This window comes from Homo sapiens, chromosome 3 (genome assembly GCF_000001405.40).
Source record: "Homo sapiens chromosome 3, GRCh38.p14 Primary Assembly".
Taxonomy (NCBI): Eukaryota; Metazoa; Chordata; class Mammalia; order Primates; family Hominidae; genus Homo; species Homo sapiens.
In genome coordinates, this window is record NC_000003.12 from 73,645,098 (window position 1) to 73,666,414 (window position 21,317).

Here is a 21,317-nt window from a genome sequence, read left to right on the forward strand (position 1 = left end):
ACTGGGGGCCACTAGGGTATGTCCCAGAGTCTGAAGGCTTGAGAATCTGGGGCTCTGATGCCCAAGGGCAGGAGAAGACGATGTCTCAGGTCCAGAAGAAAGAGAAAATCTGTTCTTCCTCTGCCTTTGTGTTGTATCTGGGCCCTTGATGGATTGATTGGATGATGCTGGCCCACTTTGGTAAGGATGGATCTGTTTTACTTGGCCTACTGATTCAAATGCTCATCTCTTCCAGACATGCCCTCACAGACACATCCAGAAATAGTGTTTTACCAGCTATCTGGGCATCCCTTAGCCCAGTCAAGTTGGCACCTAAAATTAACTATCACAGTATGAAACTCAGAAACATCTTCAATGTTACATTTTTAAAACTGAACTTCTGATTTCTTCCCACAGAAGACATTTTCTTTTCTTGCTCTCATGTTTGTAAGAGACATTGCTGTCTATTATTCAACTGTTCAAGCCAGGAACTGGAGAGACAGATTTGATGCCTCCCTCTCCTTCACCTCCCACATTCAAGACATTCATAGCATCTTATCTGTTCTATCTCTGGAATATATCTCAACTTCACAGATTTCCCTCTGCCCTACTGCCTTCGACCCTAGTTCAAGGATTGCCAACAGTCTCCAGGATTACCAGAGTAGTCTACATCTATTTCCTCATCCATTTACAGTGACTTTCCAATCCATTTTCTACACTACAGCCATTGCTTTGCATTGGACATAGAATTATCTCCTCATGGTGGTCTAAAGGGGTCTTTATGCTTTGAATTTATCTTCGTCTCTAATGTGATTTTGTACCAACTCCTTTACACATATCCACTTCCCTAAGCTTTTTCTTGGTTTCTAGCATATATGCAAGCCATTTGAAGGTAAGCTCCTGGTGTGTTACATCTACCTAATCTGCTTGTCCCTCTTTTCCAATTCTTCACGTGACTCTCACCTTCCTGTCTTTTCAGTTCCCAGCTTAAAGACACCAACCCTAGGCACAGGTTATTCTTCATCTCAACACCTCATTTATTTCCTTCACACACTTCCACATTTTACAATGCTTATTTATTGGTTTACTTATTTACTGTTTGTCTCACCACTCAACCAAACTCCATGAGGGCACAGGGTGAGCACCTGATAAATAGAATTGAATGAAAAGGAGATCTGTGAATCCATGTGCAGACAAGGCATTTTCCACAGAGTAAATAACATGTGTTGCACACACATGGGCTCTTTGTCAAATGTTTGCAGATGCTGTTGTGCGTACCAAAGCACAAGTTCACTTAGGATGTTAATGAATTCATATTGGCTTTTCGTCGTTAGGTATTTTCTTAATCCAGGTTTTGTTTTGTTTCATTTTGCCTTTTTAAATGAAATTTCCCCCAGTTCCATCTCCTGACCACTAGACCCTGGTAATTTGTATGAGCCTGTTTCTCAAGTTCTATTTCCCTCTCTTTTAATGGTAAAAATTTTGTCCTTATTAAGGCATTCACATGAAGACATTCTCATTTTGAGGTTGTCAAAAATAAGACAGATGTGTCCCCAGGGAATAAAAAGGTACAGATTTGGTGAAAAGATATATAACAGACCATAAAGCTGAGTGGAAACTACAGATTGTTTTAGCACTAACTCCACCAATTACACCACTCCTCACTGCCTTCGGGGTCTGTGTGCCTTACTCAAAGATGAGCACTAAGAAAAGAATCAATATGTAATATACACATAAAAAGTGAAAAATAAGACAAATAATTGTGATGGTTAACACTGAGTGTCAACTTGATTGGATTGAAGGATGCAAAGTATGATCCTGGGTGTGTTTGTAAGAGTGTTGCCAAAGGAGATTAACATTTGAGTCAGTGGGCTGGGAAAGGCAGACCCACACTTAATCTGGGTGGGTACCATCTAATCAGTTGCCAATGTGGCTAGAATATAAAGCAGGCAGAAAAAGGTGAAGAGACTAGACTGGCCTAGACTCCCAGACTACATCATTCTCTCATGCTGGATGCTTCCTGCCCTGGAATATTGGACTCCAAGTTCTTCAGTTTTGGGACTCAGGCTGTTTCTCCTTGCTGCTCAGCTTGCAATGGCCTATTGTGGGACCTTGTGATTGTGTGAGTTAATACTTAATAAACTCCCCTTTATATATATCTATCCTATTAGTTCTATCCCTCTAGAGAACCCTAATACAATAATATAAGCAGAAAAAATTAAACATGTTATCTCTCTCTGTCTCTCATTCTCTCTATATCTGGAAAACAAGAAGAAATACAGAAAATATGACAGAAGCAATCTCAAAGGAATTACATACAACATAGTGTTGTTAAGAAAATATCTCAAGTAAGAGATACAAAGATTCACAAAAGAGACTATAAGGCAACAGAAGGAGATAAAAAAGTAATTTGGCATATTTGGGGAAACAAATGAAAAAGAAAAAAGCCATACATAGTGAAATCTATATTAAATGGAACAAAAAAGAAATTGTAACTCCAAACTAGTGAAAGTCTTGAAGAAATTGTACAAAATGAAATGTACATAATAAACATATAAAAACAGTTGTGGAAAAGACAATAGATATAGAATAAAGACAAAGGAGATTCCACACGCATAACTGGCTTACCGAAGAAGAGTATCAACAAATGCAGTGGAATACATTTAAAGATAAAATAGAAGAAACTTTCTTGAAATACACACTTTAATTTGGAGACCAAAGGCCACATCAGTTTCTTAGGAAAATAAAACATTGCAATGAACAAAAGATATATCCTGGGAGAATTTAATATTATTTACACTTTCATTTGTTTGTATCTTTGTTGCTGTTTTGGGAACAGGGTCTTGCTGTGCTGCCCAAGCTGGAGTGCAGTGGCACAATCATAGTTCACTGCAACCTCAAATTCCCGGGCTCAAGTGATCCTCCCACCTCAGCCTCTGGAGTAGTAACCACAGGTGTGCACCACCATGCCTGGCTAATTTTGAAAAAGTTTTTGTAGAGACAGGATCTCCCTGTGTTCCTCAGGCTGGTCCCAAATTCCTGGGCTCAAGTGATCCTCCTGCTTTGGCCTCCAAAAGTGCTGGGATTAAGGTGTGAGCCACTACACCTGGCCTATTTGATGTTTTTTTGTAAACAAGAAGAATGGGGCATTCAGGGCAGAAAATCAAATAACATGCAAGTTGGCAAGATGTTTCCATTGGGATGCTTTTGGCCACAAGGAACAGAAAGCCTTACTCAAATTGGCTTGCAACGTTGCGACTCCAAGTGCGACCCTTTAGCAGTAGCCTTGGCCTTACCTGAGTGCTTGTTAGAAATGCAGAATCTAGCAGTGAATCTGCCTCCTTCCCAAAGGCCCCAGTGGGGTCAGCCAGGAGCCGAACCTTGCCTTTAACCTTGTGGGCTCATCCCTACTTGCCAGTCACAAAGGCATCGTTAACACTCAGACATGCCACCGCTGGGACCCCCTTGGCCCTCAAAGCCCCAGCCTGCTCCACCAACCCTGGCAGGTGTTTGGAACAGCTGGGGCTAAAGGCTTGAGGAACTCCAAACAGAACACCCTTCTTGCCCTTGAACAGCTCTGCCAGGTTCACTGTGTTCCCTCCAACACCATAACTGCAGGGATGGCATTTCCCACCTTGATTGGGGCCATGGCTGCCGTGGCTGTGCTGAAACTGTGGACCTGGCCAGGCACCCACCCTCCTTCACGTAGCTGTCTTGGTGCCACTGCTGCTGCCACAGGCTGAATGACAGTCCCACCGGCAGGGGAGATGGCTCAAGAGCTTCTCCATGCTAATAGAGGATGACATAGTGGAGGCTCTGAATGTCGAAGCAGATGGCACAGGCCTCACCTGCAGCCTGGCACCCAACATCATCTCACAGCTTGGAGGCCCCAGGCCCAGATACACTCCCTCTACCCTTTCCTATCTCATCTGCCCAGCCCTGGGCAGAGGGCCCCTGGGGCCCCCTAATTGGAACCTTGGCCAGATTTCTGCAATAAACATTTATGGTTCAAAAAGAAAAAAAGAAAAAAGAAAAAAAAAAAGGAAGAAATGCGGAACCTGAGGCCTTACCTCAGATCTATTGAATCAAAATCTGCATTTTCACAAGATTCCTGTCAAATCCCTAGTGATTCAGGTGCACATTAAAGTGTGAGAAACACTGGCTTAAATGATAGAGGATTTATTTTTAACAGTTGTTCTCAACCTTAGCTGTACATTAGACTCTCCTAGTAGCTCTGAGGAATTTTGCCACTGAGGCTGCACCCTGTATTGATTAAATGAGAAACTCTGGGATTCAGGCTACATTTCATTTTTATTTTTTAACAGTTCAGGAAATTCCAGTGTGAAGCTATAGTTGAAAACTTCTGCATTAAAAGTCTAGAAGTAGGTGGGATCTCAGGGTTGGTAGAGTCACAGCTCAACAGCATCATAACAGGTCCAAGCTCTTTCTATCTTTCTGCTTTGCCATCCTCAGGACTAGCTTTAATTTATAATGTACCTTCCTTCTTTCCCCTTCGTTTCCATCCCTCCTACCCACTTCTTCTTTCATTTTCTTTGTTCTTCCTGCCTCTCTGCTTTCCTGCCTTCCTTTTCATCTTATGTGCAAAGAAATATTGAATTAAATTATCATAGGGTATTAAAAATTGTTACTTCTGGGTATTCTGAGCAATTTTTGGGGAGGTATAATTTTAAAATCTTATTTTATTACTTTTTACATATCTCAAAATTATTATTATTTTTAAACGTGGGCTGAGTCCCCATAATAAAAAATATTGAGAACCACTGGCTTAGTCTAACACTCTCATCTTACAGGTGAGGAAACTGAGGCCCTAGACGGTAGCATTAGGTCCAGCACTAAGGGGAGGGAAGTGGGTAAAGAGCCCTCGTACAGCTTTGTGTGGTCCAGAACCACCAACAATGCCCACTGCGTGGCTGTGTCTCCTGAACCTTCACTAAGTGATTCCTGCACAAAATTCTTCTAAGCATTTTGAGTCCACTGAGAAAAAGAAGTGGGAGGCAACTAGAGCAGGATTCAGCCAGATAATTGGGGTGCTGGAGGCACAGAGATCACCAGGAAGAAAAAGAGAGACTTCCTAGCGAGGGCATCTTCAGTTGGTAACAGTTATTAAGACAGAAACCATGTAACTGAACTCACAAGTGACAGAGAGGACATTAGTGTTCCAGACCATGCAAAGGTGTGTAAATGTGAGGCAGTTACCTCTCTAAGAGGTGACATTGGAGTGGAGACTTGAAGGAGGGGAAGAAGTAAAATTTAAGCTACATCTCAGCCAGGTTACACCAAAGGGCTCAGAGTTTTTATTTGTTGATTCATTCATTTGTATATCTTCATGGTGGAAAGAAATGCAAGCTTTTCTGTTAGAGAATGAACAGATTGCTTCTTATATTCACAGTTTACATAGCTGATTTTGTGCTTTTTAAACATCATTTTACTATGTTTCAAATAATTGCATTTTTTTCCTATGGAGTTGGGGACATGTAAACTACCCCATGAACTACTCTGACACTGTATTTTCAGCCATTCCAAATACATTGTTATTATCTAAAACTACACTACCCCAAATGGTGGCCAGCAGCCACATTTGGCTATTAAGCACTCGAAACATGTCTAGTCTGAAATTAGATGTGTTGCCAAATGTAAAATATACGCTGTAGTTTGAAGACAGTGTGAAAAAATAAAATATCTCGCCAATAATTTCTTTTATATTGATTACATATAAAATCATATTTTAAATATATTAGGTTAAAGAAAATATATTATTAAAATGAATTTTGCCTATTTTTGCTTTTTAAGATATGACTATTAGAAAAATGTATCTTTTATATGTGACTTGCATTATCTCTATTGAACAGTGTTGTGCTGGAAACTTTCCAAAGCTCAAGTCACTTCCCAATAGCAATAGGCAACAACTGGTATTTTAGATGGTGTGAGAGTTACTGTTCACCCTTCAGGGCCTAATTTGTTACCACAGCGATTGAAATAAAGGCAGGAGCACTACTAACAGTAATAATATGAATGCTCATTAGTGTGACTATTACTACTGCAACCACTCTAATGCTACAATTTTTGCTACTATTACAGCCACTACTAAAACCAAAACTCTCGTTCCAGATACTGGAGCAAGCTCTTGTTCCAGATACTGAGGCAAGCTCTTACTTACAAACATTCTTTCTGATCCTTTGCAAGCAGACTAGGAATGTGTTATTGTTTAGATGTTTATGTTTTCACCCAAATTCCCATGTTGTAATCCTAACCCCCAACGTGATGGTACTAGGAGGTCGGGCCTTTGGAGGTAAGTTGACCATGAAGAGGGAGCCCTCATGAATGGAATTAGTGCCATTATAAAAGAGACCTCCAAGAACTAGCTAGTTCCTCCATCATGTGGGAATTCAGGAGAAGTGGCCATTTTTGAACTAGAAAGTGGGCATTCACCAGATACTGAATCTACCAGTGCCTTGATCTTGTACTTTCCAGTCTCCAGAACTGTGATAAATAAATCTTTGTTGTTGATAAGCTACCCAGTCAATGGTATTTTGCTATTGCAGCCTGAAGAGATTAAGACAATATGCACTTGTTTTTCCTCACCATTAACAGGGGAAGAAAGAGAGGGTCAGAGAGACAAGTTACTTGCTGTAGATCACACTGGAACTAAATGACAAAAGAGGAAATCAAACCCAGGTCTCCATTCTCTGCCCTTCCCACTCACTGCAGTCTCTGACATTTGGCTTTGGGCCATCCACAAGCCTCCCAGTGTTGAGAAGGGTTTGTCAAGGGGTAGTCTAATAGGCTAGTAGTGCTGAATATAAGCTAATAAACGCATTTCCTCTCTCAGTTAACAGCAGATGTGGAGCCAAAGTAAATCGACTGAGCTTCTCCAGGGGATCCTTAAAGAAGAGGACAAATGCCGGATATTTCAGACAAAGGGCCAGGACCATGGAGTGGTAGACATTTTATCTAAGCACCTACAGGTGGCCCTGAAATTCTACAAAGTCATCATCTGCTCTGCTTACAAAGAAATTTGATTCTATAACCAACAAAAAACCCAAATGTTGGAATTCTACCTTTCTAAGTAAAGGGGGGCATATGGTTCTCTTTCCTTGAGCACATTTTCTCCAAAGTTTTGCCTCACTAACCCCTGTTCCTCCTTGAGTTCTAAATTTAAATGTTAACTCCTCAGAGCAGCCTTCTCCAATTCCTTTATCTAAAGGTAAGCCCATGTGTGTTTCTCTTTCTCAGATCCTTGTATATTTCATAGCAATTATTGCCATCATAACTGGTTTCTTTTTCCTTGTAAATTCTCCTGCTGAAAGTTAAGTTCCATGAGAGCTGGCTGTCATATCTGTATCCTTTAGCCTACTGCCTGAAATGTAGTAGGTGCTCAGTAAGTATTTGTGGTATGAATATATGATCCTAACATATTTCTTTTCCTTTGTCTTATAAGAGTGACTACTAAGAAAACATGCTATCACAGTTTAATGTTAAATAATGGTCATAGATGCATCAATAATAACTTGATGACTGTTTACCCCAGTGCTGCTACCATATGTGCAGGAACACCTAGCTCTGTTACTTCCTATCAGTGCGACCTTGGGAAAATCATTTATCCTCTTTGAACCTCAGTTTTCTCACTTGTATAATGAAAGTAATAACATCAGTTGAAAAGATTATCTAGATAATGCTCTAGAAGCATTTGGTAAACATTTTAGAGTTATACAAAGTAATGAGTTCTAATTTCAAAATACCGTATATCAAAAGGCAGAACTTGAAGATGCTCTTGTAACCCTGTGGCTTAGATTGGTCCCCACAAGCAGAGCCTTACATAGGGATTTGTGTGAAAGCAATTGATTAGGAAGTATTCCTGGGAAAAACCAGTGGCAGAGTGGGGTATGAAACCAGAAGGAGAAGGTCAAACGTGGATGCCATATTATGTACCATATCCTCCCAGAGGTAACTCGATCCTATGTGGGGAGCTCTGGACACATCATGGCTCACACCTCAGTGTTTTCTCAGTCAGGGGTGAGGGAGTGTGAGTGTTTATAGCCCCACACCCATCAGTCATTGGCTAAGAGCTGCCCCAAGAATGAGGGTGCATAAATTCCTAGGTACTTCTACTTCTTCTCTTCTGCAGGTAGGCAAGGCCCTCTCAAGTAGGCCAAAGGCACTTGCTGATGAACAGCTACAGGTGCTGGCTGTTGGGTGCGATCATTTTATAAGAACTAGTGTGCACAAAAATGGTAAAGGGATTAAGGGGAGTGGAAACATGAACAGAGCACACACCAAGGAATTCCTGTCTCAATAATAGACTCTTGTACTTGGCAGTAGAGTTCACCATTATGAGTTAAGACTGGATTTGAGTACACTACTACCTTGAATTTATGCAGCATTTCTCTTTTCTCTTTGAAGTGCTTCTATATATAACTCATGCATAAGGATAGCTGAGAGCAGGCTTGGTTGGATCACGTGCGAACCATAAAAAAGTAAATTTTCAGGGGCAGTAGGTTAAATAAAGGAAAGAGGTTCACTGGTTTTACAACCACGAGTGGTTTCTATTTTTCAATAAGTCAAACCCCTTAGAAGACATGGCTGAATGAGCAAAAAACCCTCTCAGGGAAATTCATGCTTTTATAGTTTGATTTTCTTTGGGGTAAAGAGGAAAATGCAAGCCATGGTTCAAAACTATCCATTTCATCGTGACCCTGAAAAAGTGTGCAGTGTTTTTGTAACAGAGAGGACATTTTATAAACATGCTTTAAAAGTACTTTTGGATTTTAAGTGTTGCTTTCCACAATCAACCCTAGCTGGAAACATACAGGCTTCTTTGCAGCACTGGTATGGTTTGTCTCTTTTTCTTTCTATCCACCAGAATGCTCCAACTTTAGTGACTGTCAATGGCTGACTCTCAGGGATGGTACTCTTAGCCTATGAAGTAAGAGTAGATTTTACATGCTTAAATAGTTGAAAAGAAGCCAAAATAATTGTAATCTGTGTCATGTGAAAATTAAATGAGACTCAAATCTCACTGTCTATATATGAGGTTTTATTGGAGCATAGCCATGCCCGTTTGTTTATGTTTTGTCTATGGCTACTTCTGTACTATAACAGCACAATTGCATAATTGGGACAGAAACCTAAGGTCACAAAGCCAAAAGTTTTACTATTTAGCCTTTTACAGATAAAGTTTTCTGATACCTAACCCAGGGCAACTCATTTCTCTGAGCCTCACTTTCCTCATCTATGAAATGAGATAGTAATGGTAACTACCTTCTAGGCAGACAACTTAGGAGACAATGTAATACATGGGCAAAAGCACGGACTTTGAAGCCAGATGATCAAGATTTAAATTCTACCTATAATTCCAGCACTTTGGGAGGCTGAGGCAGATGGATCACTTGAGGCCAGGAGTTCAAGACCAGCCTGGCCAACATGGTGAAACCCCATCTCTACTAAAAATACAAAAATTAGCCAGGTGTGGTGGCACACGCCTGTGGTCCCAGCTACTTGGGAGGCTAAGGCAGAAGAATTGCTTGAACCCGAGAGGCAGAAGTTGCAGTAAGCCAGGATCGCACCACTGCACTCCAGCCTGGGTGACAGAGCGAAACTCTGTCTCAGGAAAAAAAAAATAATTCAAATTCTATCTCTGCCATTTACTAACTGGATAACTTCGGCACATAATAATTTCTCTGTGCCTCATTTGCTGCTTCTGTAAAATGGGGATAATGAGAGCCTCTGTCTCATGGTCCTGAGTTTATTATATGTGACGCACTTGAAATAGCAATTGGCATGTATTAAATACTATATGTTCGCTATGTAAATATTGCTACACTCACTGGGTTGTGGTGAGGAAACACATTCATGTTTATTAAAGAGAAAAAAGGTGAAATTATGTTTTTCGTTCGTAATGCCCTGGTAGCTGCTCATCTCATGGTAAAGACCCTCATCATGGCACAGGAAGAACAAGGACTCTGGAGCTAGACTGCCCCTTTGCTAATCCTGGCTCCCTCCCTCACTAGCCCTGTGATGGTAAGCATGTTACATAACCTCTCTGGGCCTCAGTTTCATCATCTGCAAAATGTGGGTAATACATAATACTAGTAATCATCTCCTTAGGCTGTTGTGAGGATTGCATGAATCTGAATGTATGTAAAGGAGTTGGAACCATGCCTAGCACAGAGTAAGTAAATGTTACTTGTCGTTATATAGTTCTGAATGCCATTAAAATAAATGCATAAATATGAAAAAATGTTTACCCTATAGCCATCTAAAAATCACGTCTCATACCACTCATGGTATGTGTACCATTATTTGGGAAACACTGACGTAGGGGAAGGTACTGTGCTGACAGATGGACGGCAGAAGTGTTTGGAGGAGAAGGGGAATTTTGTTTGTTTGTTTTTGAGTAGAGTCTTGCTCTGTTGCCCAGGCTGTAGCGCAGTGGTGCAATCCCAGCTCACTGCAACCTCTGCCTCCCAGGTTTGAGCAATTCTCCTGCCTCAGCCTCTCAAGTAGCTGGGACCATAGGCATGTGCCACTGTGCCTGGCTAATTTTTGTATTTTTTAGTAAGGACAGGGTTTCACCATGTTGCCCAGGCTGGTCTTGAACTCCTGACCTCAGGTGATCCACCTGCCTGGGCCTCCCAAAGTGCTGGTATTACAGGCATGAACCATCGCTCCCAGTCGAGAAGGGGAATGTTAACTAATAGTGTTCACAGGCATCTAGCTTGTCTCTGTTCTTTCAGTGTTCAAGATCTACCCCCAAAATATCTAAGGATGGTAGAAACCATATCCATGAGCATTGGCTACCTGCCTTTAAACTTTGGCCATATAGTATATCCCAACTGGTTCTAGTTGTGACCTACTGGTCTCCGATCATGTCTTTCCTGGTTATTTGATGTCAACTTCAAGCCACCTCTGCTCACATTTCTCAGCTACTGTCAATATTGCTTCAACCTCTATTTAGGGGAACCATCTTTGGCTTAGCTTTTCCTCTCTCTCAGACACAGTACTGACCCCAGACTCAGAAAGAGTGGTCCTCTGACATTTTGACTACATAAACTCTGAATATTCTACATTGGGCAATTCCAAGATGAGAGTAAAGCAAGGCCCAATAGCTAAGAGGCTAAATGCCCATGCCCTCTCCTGCTCCCTGCAGTGAGATCAAGGGCTCAGGAGCCATCGGGTGCCAAGTCTTGGTGAAGACACAAAGGCTCAGTATCAGAGATGTCTTGCTGCAGCATTGAGAGCCCAGGGGCATGAAGGGAGCCATCAATGCCAATGGCTTCAGTGGTAGTGACAATGGCCCTCACAGCACCCTACGTAGAACATTCCTGTGGCTAAACTTGGAATTGAATGCATTCTCCTGGTTTCTGCCTGAGCTATGAGTGTCTCTGCTTTCTTTGGGACTAAGAAATATTGGATATCCTTCCAATAAATTTCTTCTGAGTAAGCTAACCAGAGAGGTTTCCATTGTTTGTAACCAAGAACTTTGACTACTAGTGCACTAGGGTTGTGGAACCGGATCATAATTGGTGATCTACTCTATTTACACCCATGGTAGGTCTCCCATCACTGAACCAGAATCTATACTGTGAGGCTCCCCAGGGAGCACAGACTATGACCTACATTTCTACCATAGCAGTCTTATTTTTAGCATCATTAAATTGCCACATGAATAATTTTTTGCTATTTGCCATGTGTTTCTTGCATTCCTCATTTCTTTTTGACCACAAAACATTCATCTGGCTTACAATATTTAAAAATGTTGGAAGCTTCGGATTAAGCCAGCAAAAGGGGGAAAACTTTCATTAAAATATAAGTAAAATTTCTTCAAACGAAGCCAAGTGACAATAACTGGCAAAGAAGTCTGTCCAATTTTCTTTATTGAATTTTCAGTGATTTGGTAACATTGTGTCATCTATTCCATGCACGGTTTTTAACTTTTCATTTTCATTGTTGTCTTGCATTTCTAAAAATTGCATGCAAAAAGCAGATCATTTTTAGGCTGATAGGGGGTGATATTTAGAGTAGAAATGAGGATGCACTCTTGTCTGATGAAATATCAAAGCGACATTAGGAAAATGTAAAACACACAAATCAGCTCCTTCATACAAAGTAGTCACTACTATTCATATAATTCCAAAAAATAGAAGAAAGTGCTTTCCAATCTAATGACTTACATAGATTGCTTTCTTTCCAGTGGTTTCTGTTGTTGAATGTATTCATCATCTAATTTATGACCCTTTCAACATAGATATTCACTTAACAAATATTCATTATGAACCCACCTTCTTCCAGGCACATTAAAGACATAAAAAGAAAATATCTTTTTTCTGTACCTTTGTTTTTTCCAGATTAGGAGCTCACCAAGAACAAATTTATAGTCCATGTCTTAGTCATCTTTGCATGACCAGGGCTTATCCCTGTGCCTGGTATATAGCAGACATTCAATAAAAGTTTGTTGAATAAATGACTAATTTCATTCTCAGGGAATTCATGAAAATAGTGGCATAGGCAAATGTGCATAGTATAAATGTGGCATGAGGGGATAGGTGCTATTAATGGAAACAGAATGTAATCTAGGTGGGTCCCCAGGGGATGAAGGATACTAGTCTATTTAGGGAGGTGAGGACCAATATTTTATTATTTTTTGCTTCCTCCATATAATGTAATGAAATCTCCCTGCCACTTTCAAATCCCCCCTTTTAAGTATTTTTATGAAAATGGGGTTTGCTCACCATGCTGACCCCTCTGTGGTCTCTCTTCTCTTTCTGGTTTTGTTTTTTGGCACTGCCATCTACTCTCACCACCTCTACCCTGGACTGGACCACTTTTCCTTCCCTTCCCTAAAGCACTTTAAGCAGAAATGTTGTGGAGAGTAGTAGCCTTTTCCTGAAGTTTTGGGTAATCACAGACCATAGCCAGATATGATTCCAGATGTGGTGTTTGACATCCTCTGTCCACACAGTTCCCACAATCTAATAACCATTCCTCACCTCTGGAAAATTTCTCCCTAATCATAATACCTGTCCTCCCCCATCCCCGATAGGCAGCTGCTCACAAATCCTGGTTTATTTCTTCATGCCTACCAGGTGAGCTCTTCTCTTTCTACTTCCAATTCATGCCTAGACTTTTGTGTATCCCCAAATTCCTGGTGATGTTCTGCTACACGACGGACCATTGACACTAGGTGTCTGGCCTTAGCATGACAAAGAACTGGAGGGAACTTCACACTTCAAGATCATACCCTTTCGCTGGAATCTCTTCTCCACGGACCAGAACAAACTGGACTATTGCAAGGGTGAAGAAATGTCTTTCCTGTTACACATCTTAGCATAGTGCTAGACATGGACAGGCACTCAAAGGTATTTAAAAACAGCTTGAATGGAATGCAAAGGAGGCAGAAGAGTGGATGGTTCACCAGGGAAATTCCTAAGGGGAGTCAAGCAGAGATGGATACAGGCTCACAGGTTAGTCTTGGCAAGGAAAAGGGGCTATTCTTTCTCAGAAGCAAGCAAAGGAAGACAGGGACAGTGAAAATTAAAAAGTAAATGGAATCAAGGTGTATGTATTCCCTTTGATTTACTCTGTATGAAGATAGGAGTGGGTTAGGCTTGGGGAGACTCACCAATTTGATTTGCCCCCAGGGGGGTGAGACACGTGGCATATCTAGAGAGGGAACTGGAAACTTGGGAAAACTGATGAAATCAAGGGGAAATAAAGAGTTTAGACCTTTGTACTCCCTGAACATGTGGAATCAGCTTTAAACATGCCTTTCAGAACTCTTGGAGCTCTTTTATCAAATTTATAGGAGTTACTTCTTGTTCCAAAAAACAAAATGTCAGCAGGCCTGGTTCTTATTTCTTTTCTTTGATTTGTCTGGAACTCCCTTTATCATCTCTGCCAGTTCCAAGGACAGTTAACACACGGAGTGAGGCGCAGTCAGATCCCAGCCATTGCTTTTTATAGTCCCGCTACCTTACCAGACTGTACAGACACACACAATTTTCCAGCTTTACACCGAGAAAAGAACAGAAAAGAGAAAGAATAACGAGTCATACCCTGTTGTTTTCGTAGGATGTTCTGACTTTGAAAAGGGATTGCCTTACACTTAAGTAATAAACAGTGTGTTGTGGGACAGATATATGAACATTCGCTCTCCCCAGTTTGCCCAAGTCTAAAATAAGTAAAATAGTTTTTTTTACTGTGTATTTATTTTACTGCATATTTTTATTATCTTTTACAGGCATGAACTGAAATAGATAATGAGATACTTATAAATTCCGTAAACATCCTGATTGGCAGAATTGCATGATTGGAAGGATGCTTTCAGATCACTGAGTTCCATACCCTCCTAGCATTTGCCATCCCTTTATAAAGCCCTCACCAAATGTCATCTGTCTTACCTGTACCAACCCCCTGTATGCATAACTCGTCATCTTTGGAGGTATTAGATTGGTACAAAAGTCATTGTGGTTTTGCGATTACTTTTAACAGCAAAAATCGCAATTACTTTCTCACCAACCTAATACTTCATGCTCTCTTTTGCCAGATAGGACTATTGGGAAGACTTTATTTATATAGCAACCCAGTCCATCCACCATCAGTCCCGATTCAACCCTATAAGGCCCTACAGCAAATGGAATCTTTACTCAAATGTTCATGTCAAAATTCTAAGAGTCATTCTTTATTCTCCTCTGTCGCATACTCCTTTTCCAATCCATCCACAAACACTGTCAGATCCGCCCTCAAATTTTATGACAAGCTTTGTCCTTTTTCCTGTCCAAGTCCACCGCCCTAATATAAGCCACCATCATTCTGTAGCCTGGACTATGGCAATAGTTTTCTAACTAGGGTTCATGCTTTCATAGTTGCCTGCCACCATTTATTGTCTCTGTAGCACCCAAAGAAGATGTTTTTAAAAATATAGTCATGCATCACTTAACGACAGGAGTACTTCGTGAGAAATGTGTCATTAGGGAATTTTGTTGTTGTGTGAACATCATAGAGTTACACTAACCTAGATGGTATGGGCTCCCACACACCTAGGCTATATGGAATAGCCCATCGCTCTTAGGCTATAAACCTGTGCCACATGTGACTGTCCTGAGCACTGTAGACAATTGTAACATAATGGTAAGTATTTGTGAATCTAAATGTAGAAAAGGTACAGTAAAGATAGGGTATAAAGGATAAGAAGTGGTACACCTGTATAGGGCACTTACCACGAATGGAGCTTGCAGGACTGGAAGTTGCTCTGGGTGTCACTGAGTGAGTGGTGAGTGAATGTGAGGGCCTAGGACATTAATGTACCCATGGTAGACTTTATAAAAACTGTACACTTAGGTTACACTAAATGTATTTAAATATTATTTTACTTTCTTCAATAATAACGACTGTAACTTTTTAAATTTATAAACTTAATTTTTTAAAACTTTTTGACTTTTTGTAATAATACCTTAAAACACAAACACATTTTAACAAAAATATTTTATATATTTTTATTTATATATTTATTTATATATAACATATAATATATAATATATATTATAAATATATATATATATATAGTTTTTTTTGAGATGGAGTCTAGCTTTGTTGCCCAGGCTGGAGTGCAGTGGCGTGATCTTGGCTTGCTGCAAACTCTGCCTCCCAGGTTCAAGTGATTCTCTTGCCTCAGCCTCCCAAGTAGCTGGGATTACAGGTGCCCGCCATCACACCCAGCTAAATTTTGTATTTGTGGTAGAGACAGGGTTTTGCTATGCTGGTCAGGCTGTTCTCAAACTCCTGACCTCAGGTGATCCACCCACCTCAGCCTCCCAGAGTGCTGGGATTACAGGTGTGAGCCACTGCGCCTCAGCTCTATATTCTTTTTCTGTAAACTTTTAATTTAAAATTTTACTTTTTAAACTTTTCTGTTAAAAACTAAGACACAAACACACATTACCCTAGGCCTACACAGGGTCAGGACCATCAATATCACTGTCTTCTACCTCCACGTCTCGTCTCACTGGAAGGTCTTCAGGGGCAAGAACACGCATGGAGCTGTCATCTCCTATGATAATAATGCCTTCTTCTGGAATATCTCCTGAAGGACCTACCTGAGGCTGTTTGATAGTTAACTTTAAAAAATGGAAGTAGAAGGAGTATGCTCTAAAATAATGATAAAAAGCACAGTACAGGAAAGTTATAAACTAGTTAACATAGTTTTTTATTACTATTATCAAGCATTATGTACTATACATAATTGCATGTGCTATTCTTTCACACAACTGGCAGTGCAGGAGGTTTGGTTACATCAGCATTACCACAAACAGGTGAGTAATACATTGCTCTATGACATTAGGATGGCTATGATGTTACTGGGCAACAGGAATTTTTCAGCTCCACTATAATCTCACAGATCCCTGTTGCATATGTGGTCTGTCATTGAACAAAACATCATTATGCAGCATGACTGTCTATTCTATGTTATCCTCTTTGTAAAAACTTGCTAGTGCCTTCTCATCCCACCCACAGTGGAGCCATACAAGGGTATATGATGTAATCTGACCCCTGGTTCTCTTTCTAATCAACTCTCCTGCCTCTTTCTAATTCACTGCTCTCTAACCATGCTTGGACATCCTTTGAAAAAAATCTAAACTTTTGCATTTGCTGTTCCCTCTGCCTATAATGCTATTCCTTCAGGTAGCCGCATGATTAAATCTTTTACTTTCTACAGGTCTCTGCTCAAGTGTTTCCACCTCAAGAGAGGTCTCCTCTGGCCCCCCAATCTAAGATATCACCACTACTCTTTATTCTCAGCTTTGATGATCTTCATAGCATTTCTCCTCTCCTGCTAGTTGATATGTCTATTTTATAACCCACTAGATCACAAACTCCTCAAGAACAAGGATTTTGTGTTACTCACTTTTGTAACCCTAATGCTTACCACATTTTAATGAAGTAATGTTACAAAAATAGTGAATGAATAAATGAATATAGGTCATTTTTAATAATTCCTCCAAACAACTATCCTTCCATCATTTGGAGATATGTACTTATTTCCACATCATTTTTTTTTTCTAGAATATACAATCCGATTTCCATCACTGGTCTACACGTGGTTTCTAATCCTCTCCCTTCTTGCTTCCCTTTTCTTTCCTCCATTCAATTTGCCAGCTACCTTCTCACAGGCGCTGGTGCCAAACCAGTGTGGTAGTTATGTGTGTGAGTTCTAGAGTCAGACTGCAAGGTTCAAATCCAATTTCCACCACTAACGACTTGTTTACCTTGACACAAGTCATTTGATATTCTTGAGTAATAAGCAATAGTAACTAAATTAAACAATAAAAAGATAAATTTATTAGAGATATATAGACTGGCTAAGACATATGGTAAAAAAAATAGTATCAGGCCCTAGAAAAGTCAGAAAGGAAAAGAACTTGGAGGCCAGAGCTCTATGGCCATCCTTTCAGAGGACTACTGTTGAGATGTTGAGGTGTTATTACTTTATGTTACTTTATGTTCTTATAATACTCCATTCATTATTCAAATTCCTAAAAAAAGTAATACTATGGGTTCGGTTTGATTCAAATTTTCACCCTTTAGCTTAGGGTTTGATTGGTGTTCAACTAAGCCTGTCCATAAAGGTGGAGAGGTAGTTACCCAAAGAAGAAGAGATGGAATGGATATTGGCCAGGCCAATAGGCAGATGGCCACTGCACACTCTAACCTTCCATGTCCTCACTTGCAAGTAGGGGATAATAATAGTTACTGCTGCATTTGTTGTCTTGAAGCTTAAACAGCCTAATGTGTATGAAAGGTTTAGCATAGTGTCTGCATGTAGTGAGCATAGTAAGCCTCTAGCAAGTAGGGGACCCAACATGGAATTTAATACTCCAGGTGTGTTCGAGTGGGATGCCAGCTTCCTCATTTCAGACCCTTAGTAACAGAGCCTGAGGTGAAATGTACATTTCATCAGCCACAGTCAACTCTAATTGAGCTTTTTGTAAACTAAGACCCCCGAGTTGTTTCCATAAGTGCTTCTTCTACCAGCTCTTGAACCCACTCCTTGCACAAACACAGCTGATTAGTCCTTACCCTTACCCCACGAATTAATCTTGTTAGATATGATCCATCACTGCCCTACGTAGCCTGAAATCTGAATTCTGTCTTCTAACAAAAACTTTTAGCTGTGTGTCACCTGCACATTTATGGCCAGATTAACTGAGATTACAAGAGAAAGTGCATGTGAAGTCCTTTGCAACTACGAAGCACAACACAAATGAAAGGTGTTATTTTTGTTCTCATTCAAGAAGTGATAAATGTAAACTACTTAGTGCAGTGTCCATTTTCCTGGCATATGCCAAATCCCCCTTTTTTTCCCCTCATTTCAGTTCCCCAGATAAACCTGTGCACCTTCCCAAAGTGGATAAATTTAGGTATGTTACAAGCATGTGGTGTTTTCCCATGAGCATCAGTCTTGATAGTTTCAAGGAATTGAGACTTTAAACAGACAGCAATCTAGTTCTTAAGCCACGTGGGCATATGTTCTCCATCTTCTAAGTTTGACCATGGCTAGCTTCAAAAGCAACAACCAGTGCTATTTCAGAGCAAATGTAATTTACATTATCTGATTGTCAACAATACAATATCTCTACATATCATGCTCATGGAGATAGCTACAATAAAGACTTTGTATGAATAGCTCTGGTAAGGGATTTAGGGCAATGTTATTTACACAGCTTTAGCTTTTTCTGCAGAAACCACGCAGAGTACTGATACTCTGTGAAGAATGTATTGATGACATATGCCTACTGGGTACGTGTCCTTCACCATTTTACAAGTCTACTCAGATGCCAAACAAAAATCCTTAGCACTACTGTTCTTTGGATTGAAACTAGATTCACTTCACTGTATTAAGGCAAAATAAATATGCCTTAGCATGTCAAAATATTATACATCCATGTGGTTTAAGCCATGGGTGGTACACCTAGGTACCTAATGCTGTCAGATACTGCAGCATAGTTCTATATTTCTATTTCCCATGACACTATAAATGTTCATGTCTTTCCCATCAGTCTTTCACATTGACATTTCCTGTGTTTTTATACTTGGGGAAAGTTAATGTCTTTCTTGTTCTGTTCAAAAAAGAACCTTCTCAGGAGTTACCAAACTCATTGGATTATACTTTTTTGATGTTCAAATCTAGGCATCTTTGAAGCATGCAGTGAGAATTTTGAGGAATAAAGGCCATTTTTCCCAAACCAGCACTTGCTCCTCAAAGGAAAAACGATTATGTTCATAATTAAGCTTCAATGAAATCAGGCAGAGACAAAAACTGAATGCAAGAATGAGTGCTTAGGGCAAATGCTGACCGTCAGCAGGCACTTTTCTCCTCTCTTTGAGAATTCTCCATTCCTGAGGTCTGATCAAGCCATATTTCTGCTATTTTTAAACAGTCCTGGGCCCTTTGAGGGCACTCTGGTTTCAATCCTCCCAGAGATAAGAAACGTTCAGCTGTGACAGGAGGCTATTTCAGGGTAGAGCATGTACTGTTATAGCACAGGACCAGGAGGGTCGTGAGGTTTGCTGAGCTGTAGCCAAGAGTATTCAAAGCAAAGGCCTTTGAAAGGGAGGTTTCCCTTTGCAGAGAGATATGATGATTTCACCTAGCTCCCCGTCCTCAGGCATAGAAAGGATTTCACATCTTGTTAGAACTTTTATGCTCTGCATGCTAATTGGAAAATGTAAGCCTAATAATGTTGTTTCTCTCCCATCTATTTATTATTTGTACTTGGATGAATTCTCACCTCACAAGGCATGCTCATGATGTTGGTATAAAATTCTTTATTTTGGCAATGTTTTTATTTTTTCCTGCATACTGATTTTTAAAAATCCTGGGGCCAGATTCCATTATTTCATATTTCTCCTCCGACTTCACAAGGCAGATAATTATTACAGGCAACCAGCCACCTTCTGTCTTTTCACTTTTTACTGGTAAGAGATGACTCCTAAAATACAAGATCCAAGTGAACCTGAAGAGTGATATATATGTGAACTGGTATAATTAATTAAAATAGAATGCAGTTTCAATAACATGACATCATGACTTGGTATTTGGAAAGTAAACATAGGCTGGAATTTAATGACAAGATATAGACTAGGTGGAGGAAAACATAGGTTGAGGGCTTACATAGTAAGATTTTGCAATCTTCTTTAGTGATAGGAGGCAAGATCTCAAAACGTATGTAAGCTCAGCATAACTTAGGGAATTCAGTGCAATGCTGATCATGCAATGTTGTAAATGGTCCTTAGGTCAGAGATGGCTCTCATCTCACTGTCTGTTTTGTGTCATCCCTTTGGATTCACTCTTCCATGCAGCTCATGATCTTCAGAGCCCTAGGCTGTGCTGTGGAATGTCACATGTATTATAACAAATGACCTTCTATGCATGGAGGCAGATGCAAAGTGTGCATCCGAGCATTCAGGGCCTTGTTTTGCCTATCTTGTTTCATATCATATGTGGGAAAATGATCTGCTTTAGGTTTTGTTGTATGGGATTAGTTAACTTTTTCACTGTGTCTTTGCTTGAATTGCATAGCTCACTAGCATGGAAAACATGCTATGCCATATGCTAAATTCTATCCCATCATTTACTAAGATAAAATAAAGACCAGAGAACTCAAATGCCTCCAGAAAGGACCAGAGGAGGGGGGAAGATTTCTCCAGAAGACAAATGCGTGAAGAAGGAGGATAGTTGGAGCAGCAATTTTCAAATTACTTTGTATAAGATTTACCAGGAACTGGCCAGGCGTGGTGGTTCACGTCTGTAATCCCAGCACTTTGGGAGGCTGAGGCGGGCAGATCATGAGGTCAGGAGTTCGAGACCATCCTGGCTAACACAGTGAAACCCTGTCACTACTAAAAATACAGAAACAAAATTAGCCGGGTGTAGTGGGGAGCCTGTAGTCCCAGCTACTCAGGAGGCTGAGGTGGGAGAATGGCGTGAACCTGGGAGGCGGAGCTTGCAGTGAGCGGAGATCGTGCCGCTGCACTCCAGCCTGGGTAACAGAGCGAGACTCCATCTCAAAAAAAAAAAAAAAAAAAGATTTACCAGGAACTTGCTAAAGCACACACTCGCATGCACATGTACACACACATGCACAGTATCCTAGACCCCAGTCATGGAGAATCTGATTCTCTAAGTCTTAAGCAAGGCTCTCTGTACTTTTAACAAGCTCCCAGGTACTTGGAGGCAGTAGTCCATTGACTATCCTTTCAGAAATAACTGACTTGGTGGGTGCTAATTGGTAGAGGAAAGAACACACACTTGGGAAGCCAGA

The 21,317-nt window shown here is 40.4% G+C and overlaps 1 pseudogene, besides 4 other annotated features; it reads right to left on the minus strand.

Annotated features, from left to right (window-relative positions):
- Nucleotides 3,103-3,604: an enhancer, noted in NCBI's record as "H3K4me1 hESC enhancer chr3:73697351-73697852 (GRCh37/hg19 assembly coordinates)". NCBI's record gives its function as "activates a minimal SCP1, AML or CMV promoter by ChIP-STARR-seq in primed H9 embryonic stem cells {active_cell/tissue: H9 hESC(primed)}" and the evidence as "EXISTENCE:reporter gene assay evidence [ECO:0000049][PMID:30033119]".
- PRDX5P1 (PRDX5 pseudogene 1) lies at nucleotides 3,300-3,720 on the minus strand (annotated as a pseudogene).
- Nucleotides 3,605-4,104: an enhancer, noted in NCBI's record as "H3K4me1 hESC enhancer chr3:73697853-73698352 (GRCh37/hg19 assembly coordinates)". NCBI's record gives its function as "activates a minimal SCP1, AML or CMV promoter by ChIP-STARR-seq in primed H9 embryonic stem cells {active_cell/tissue: H9 hESC(primed)}" and the evidence as "EXISTENCE:reporter gene assay evidence [ECO:0000049][PMID:30033119]".
- Nucleotides 4,938-5,107: an enhancer, noted in NCBI's record as "experimental_71107 CRE fragment used in MPRA reporter constructs". NCBI's record gives its function as "activates a minimal promoter by MPRAs in K562 erythroleukemia cells, with activity observed for both the introgressed and non-introgressed 3:73699271 variant alleles {active_cell/tissue: K562}" and the evidence as "EXISTENCE:reporter gene assay evidence [ECO:0000049][PMID:34662402]".
- Nucleotides 6,657-6,826: an enhancer, noted in NCBI's record as "experimental_71127 CRE fragment used in MPRA reporter constructs". NCBI's record gives its function as "activates a minimal promoter by MPRAs in K562 erythroleukemia cells, with activity observed for both the introgressed and non-introgressed 3:73700990 variant alleles {active_cell/tissue: K562}" and the evidence as "EXISTENCE:reporter gene assay evidence [ECO:0000049][PMID:34662402]".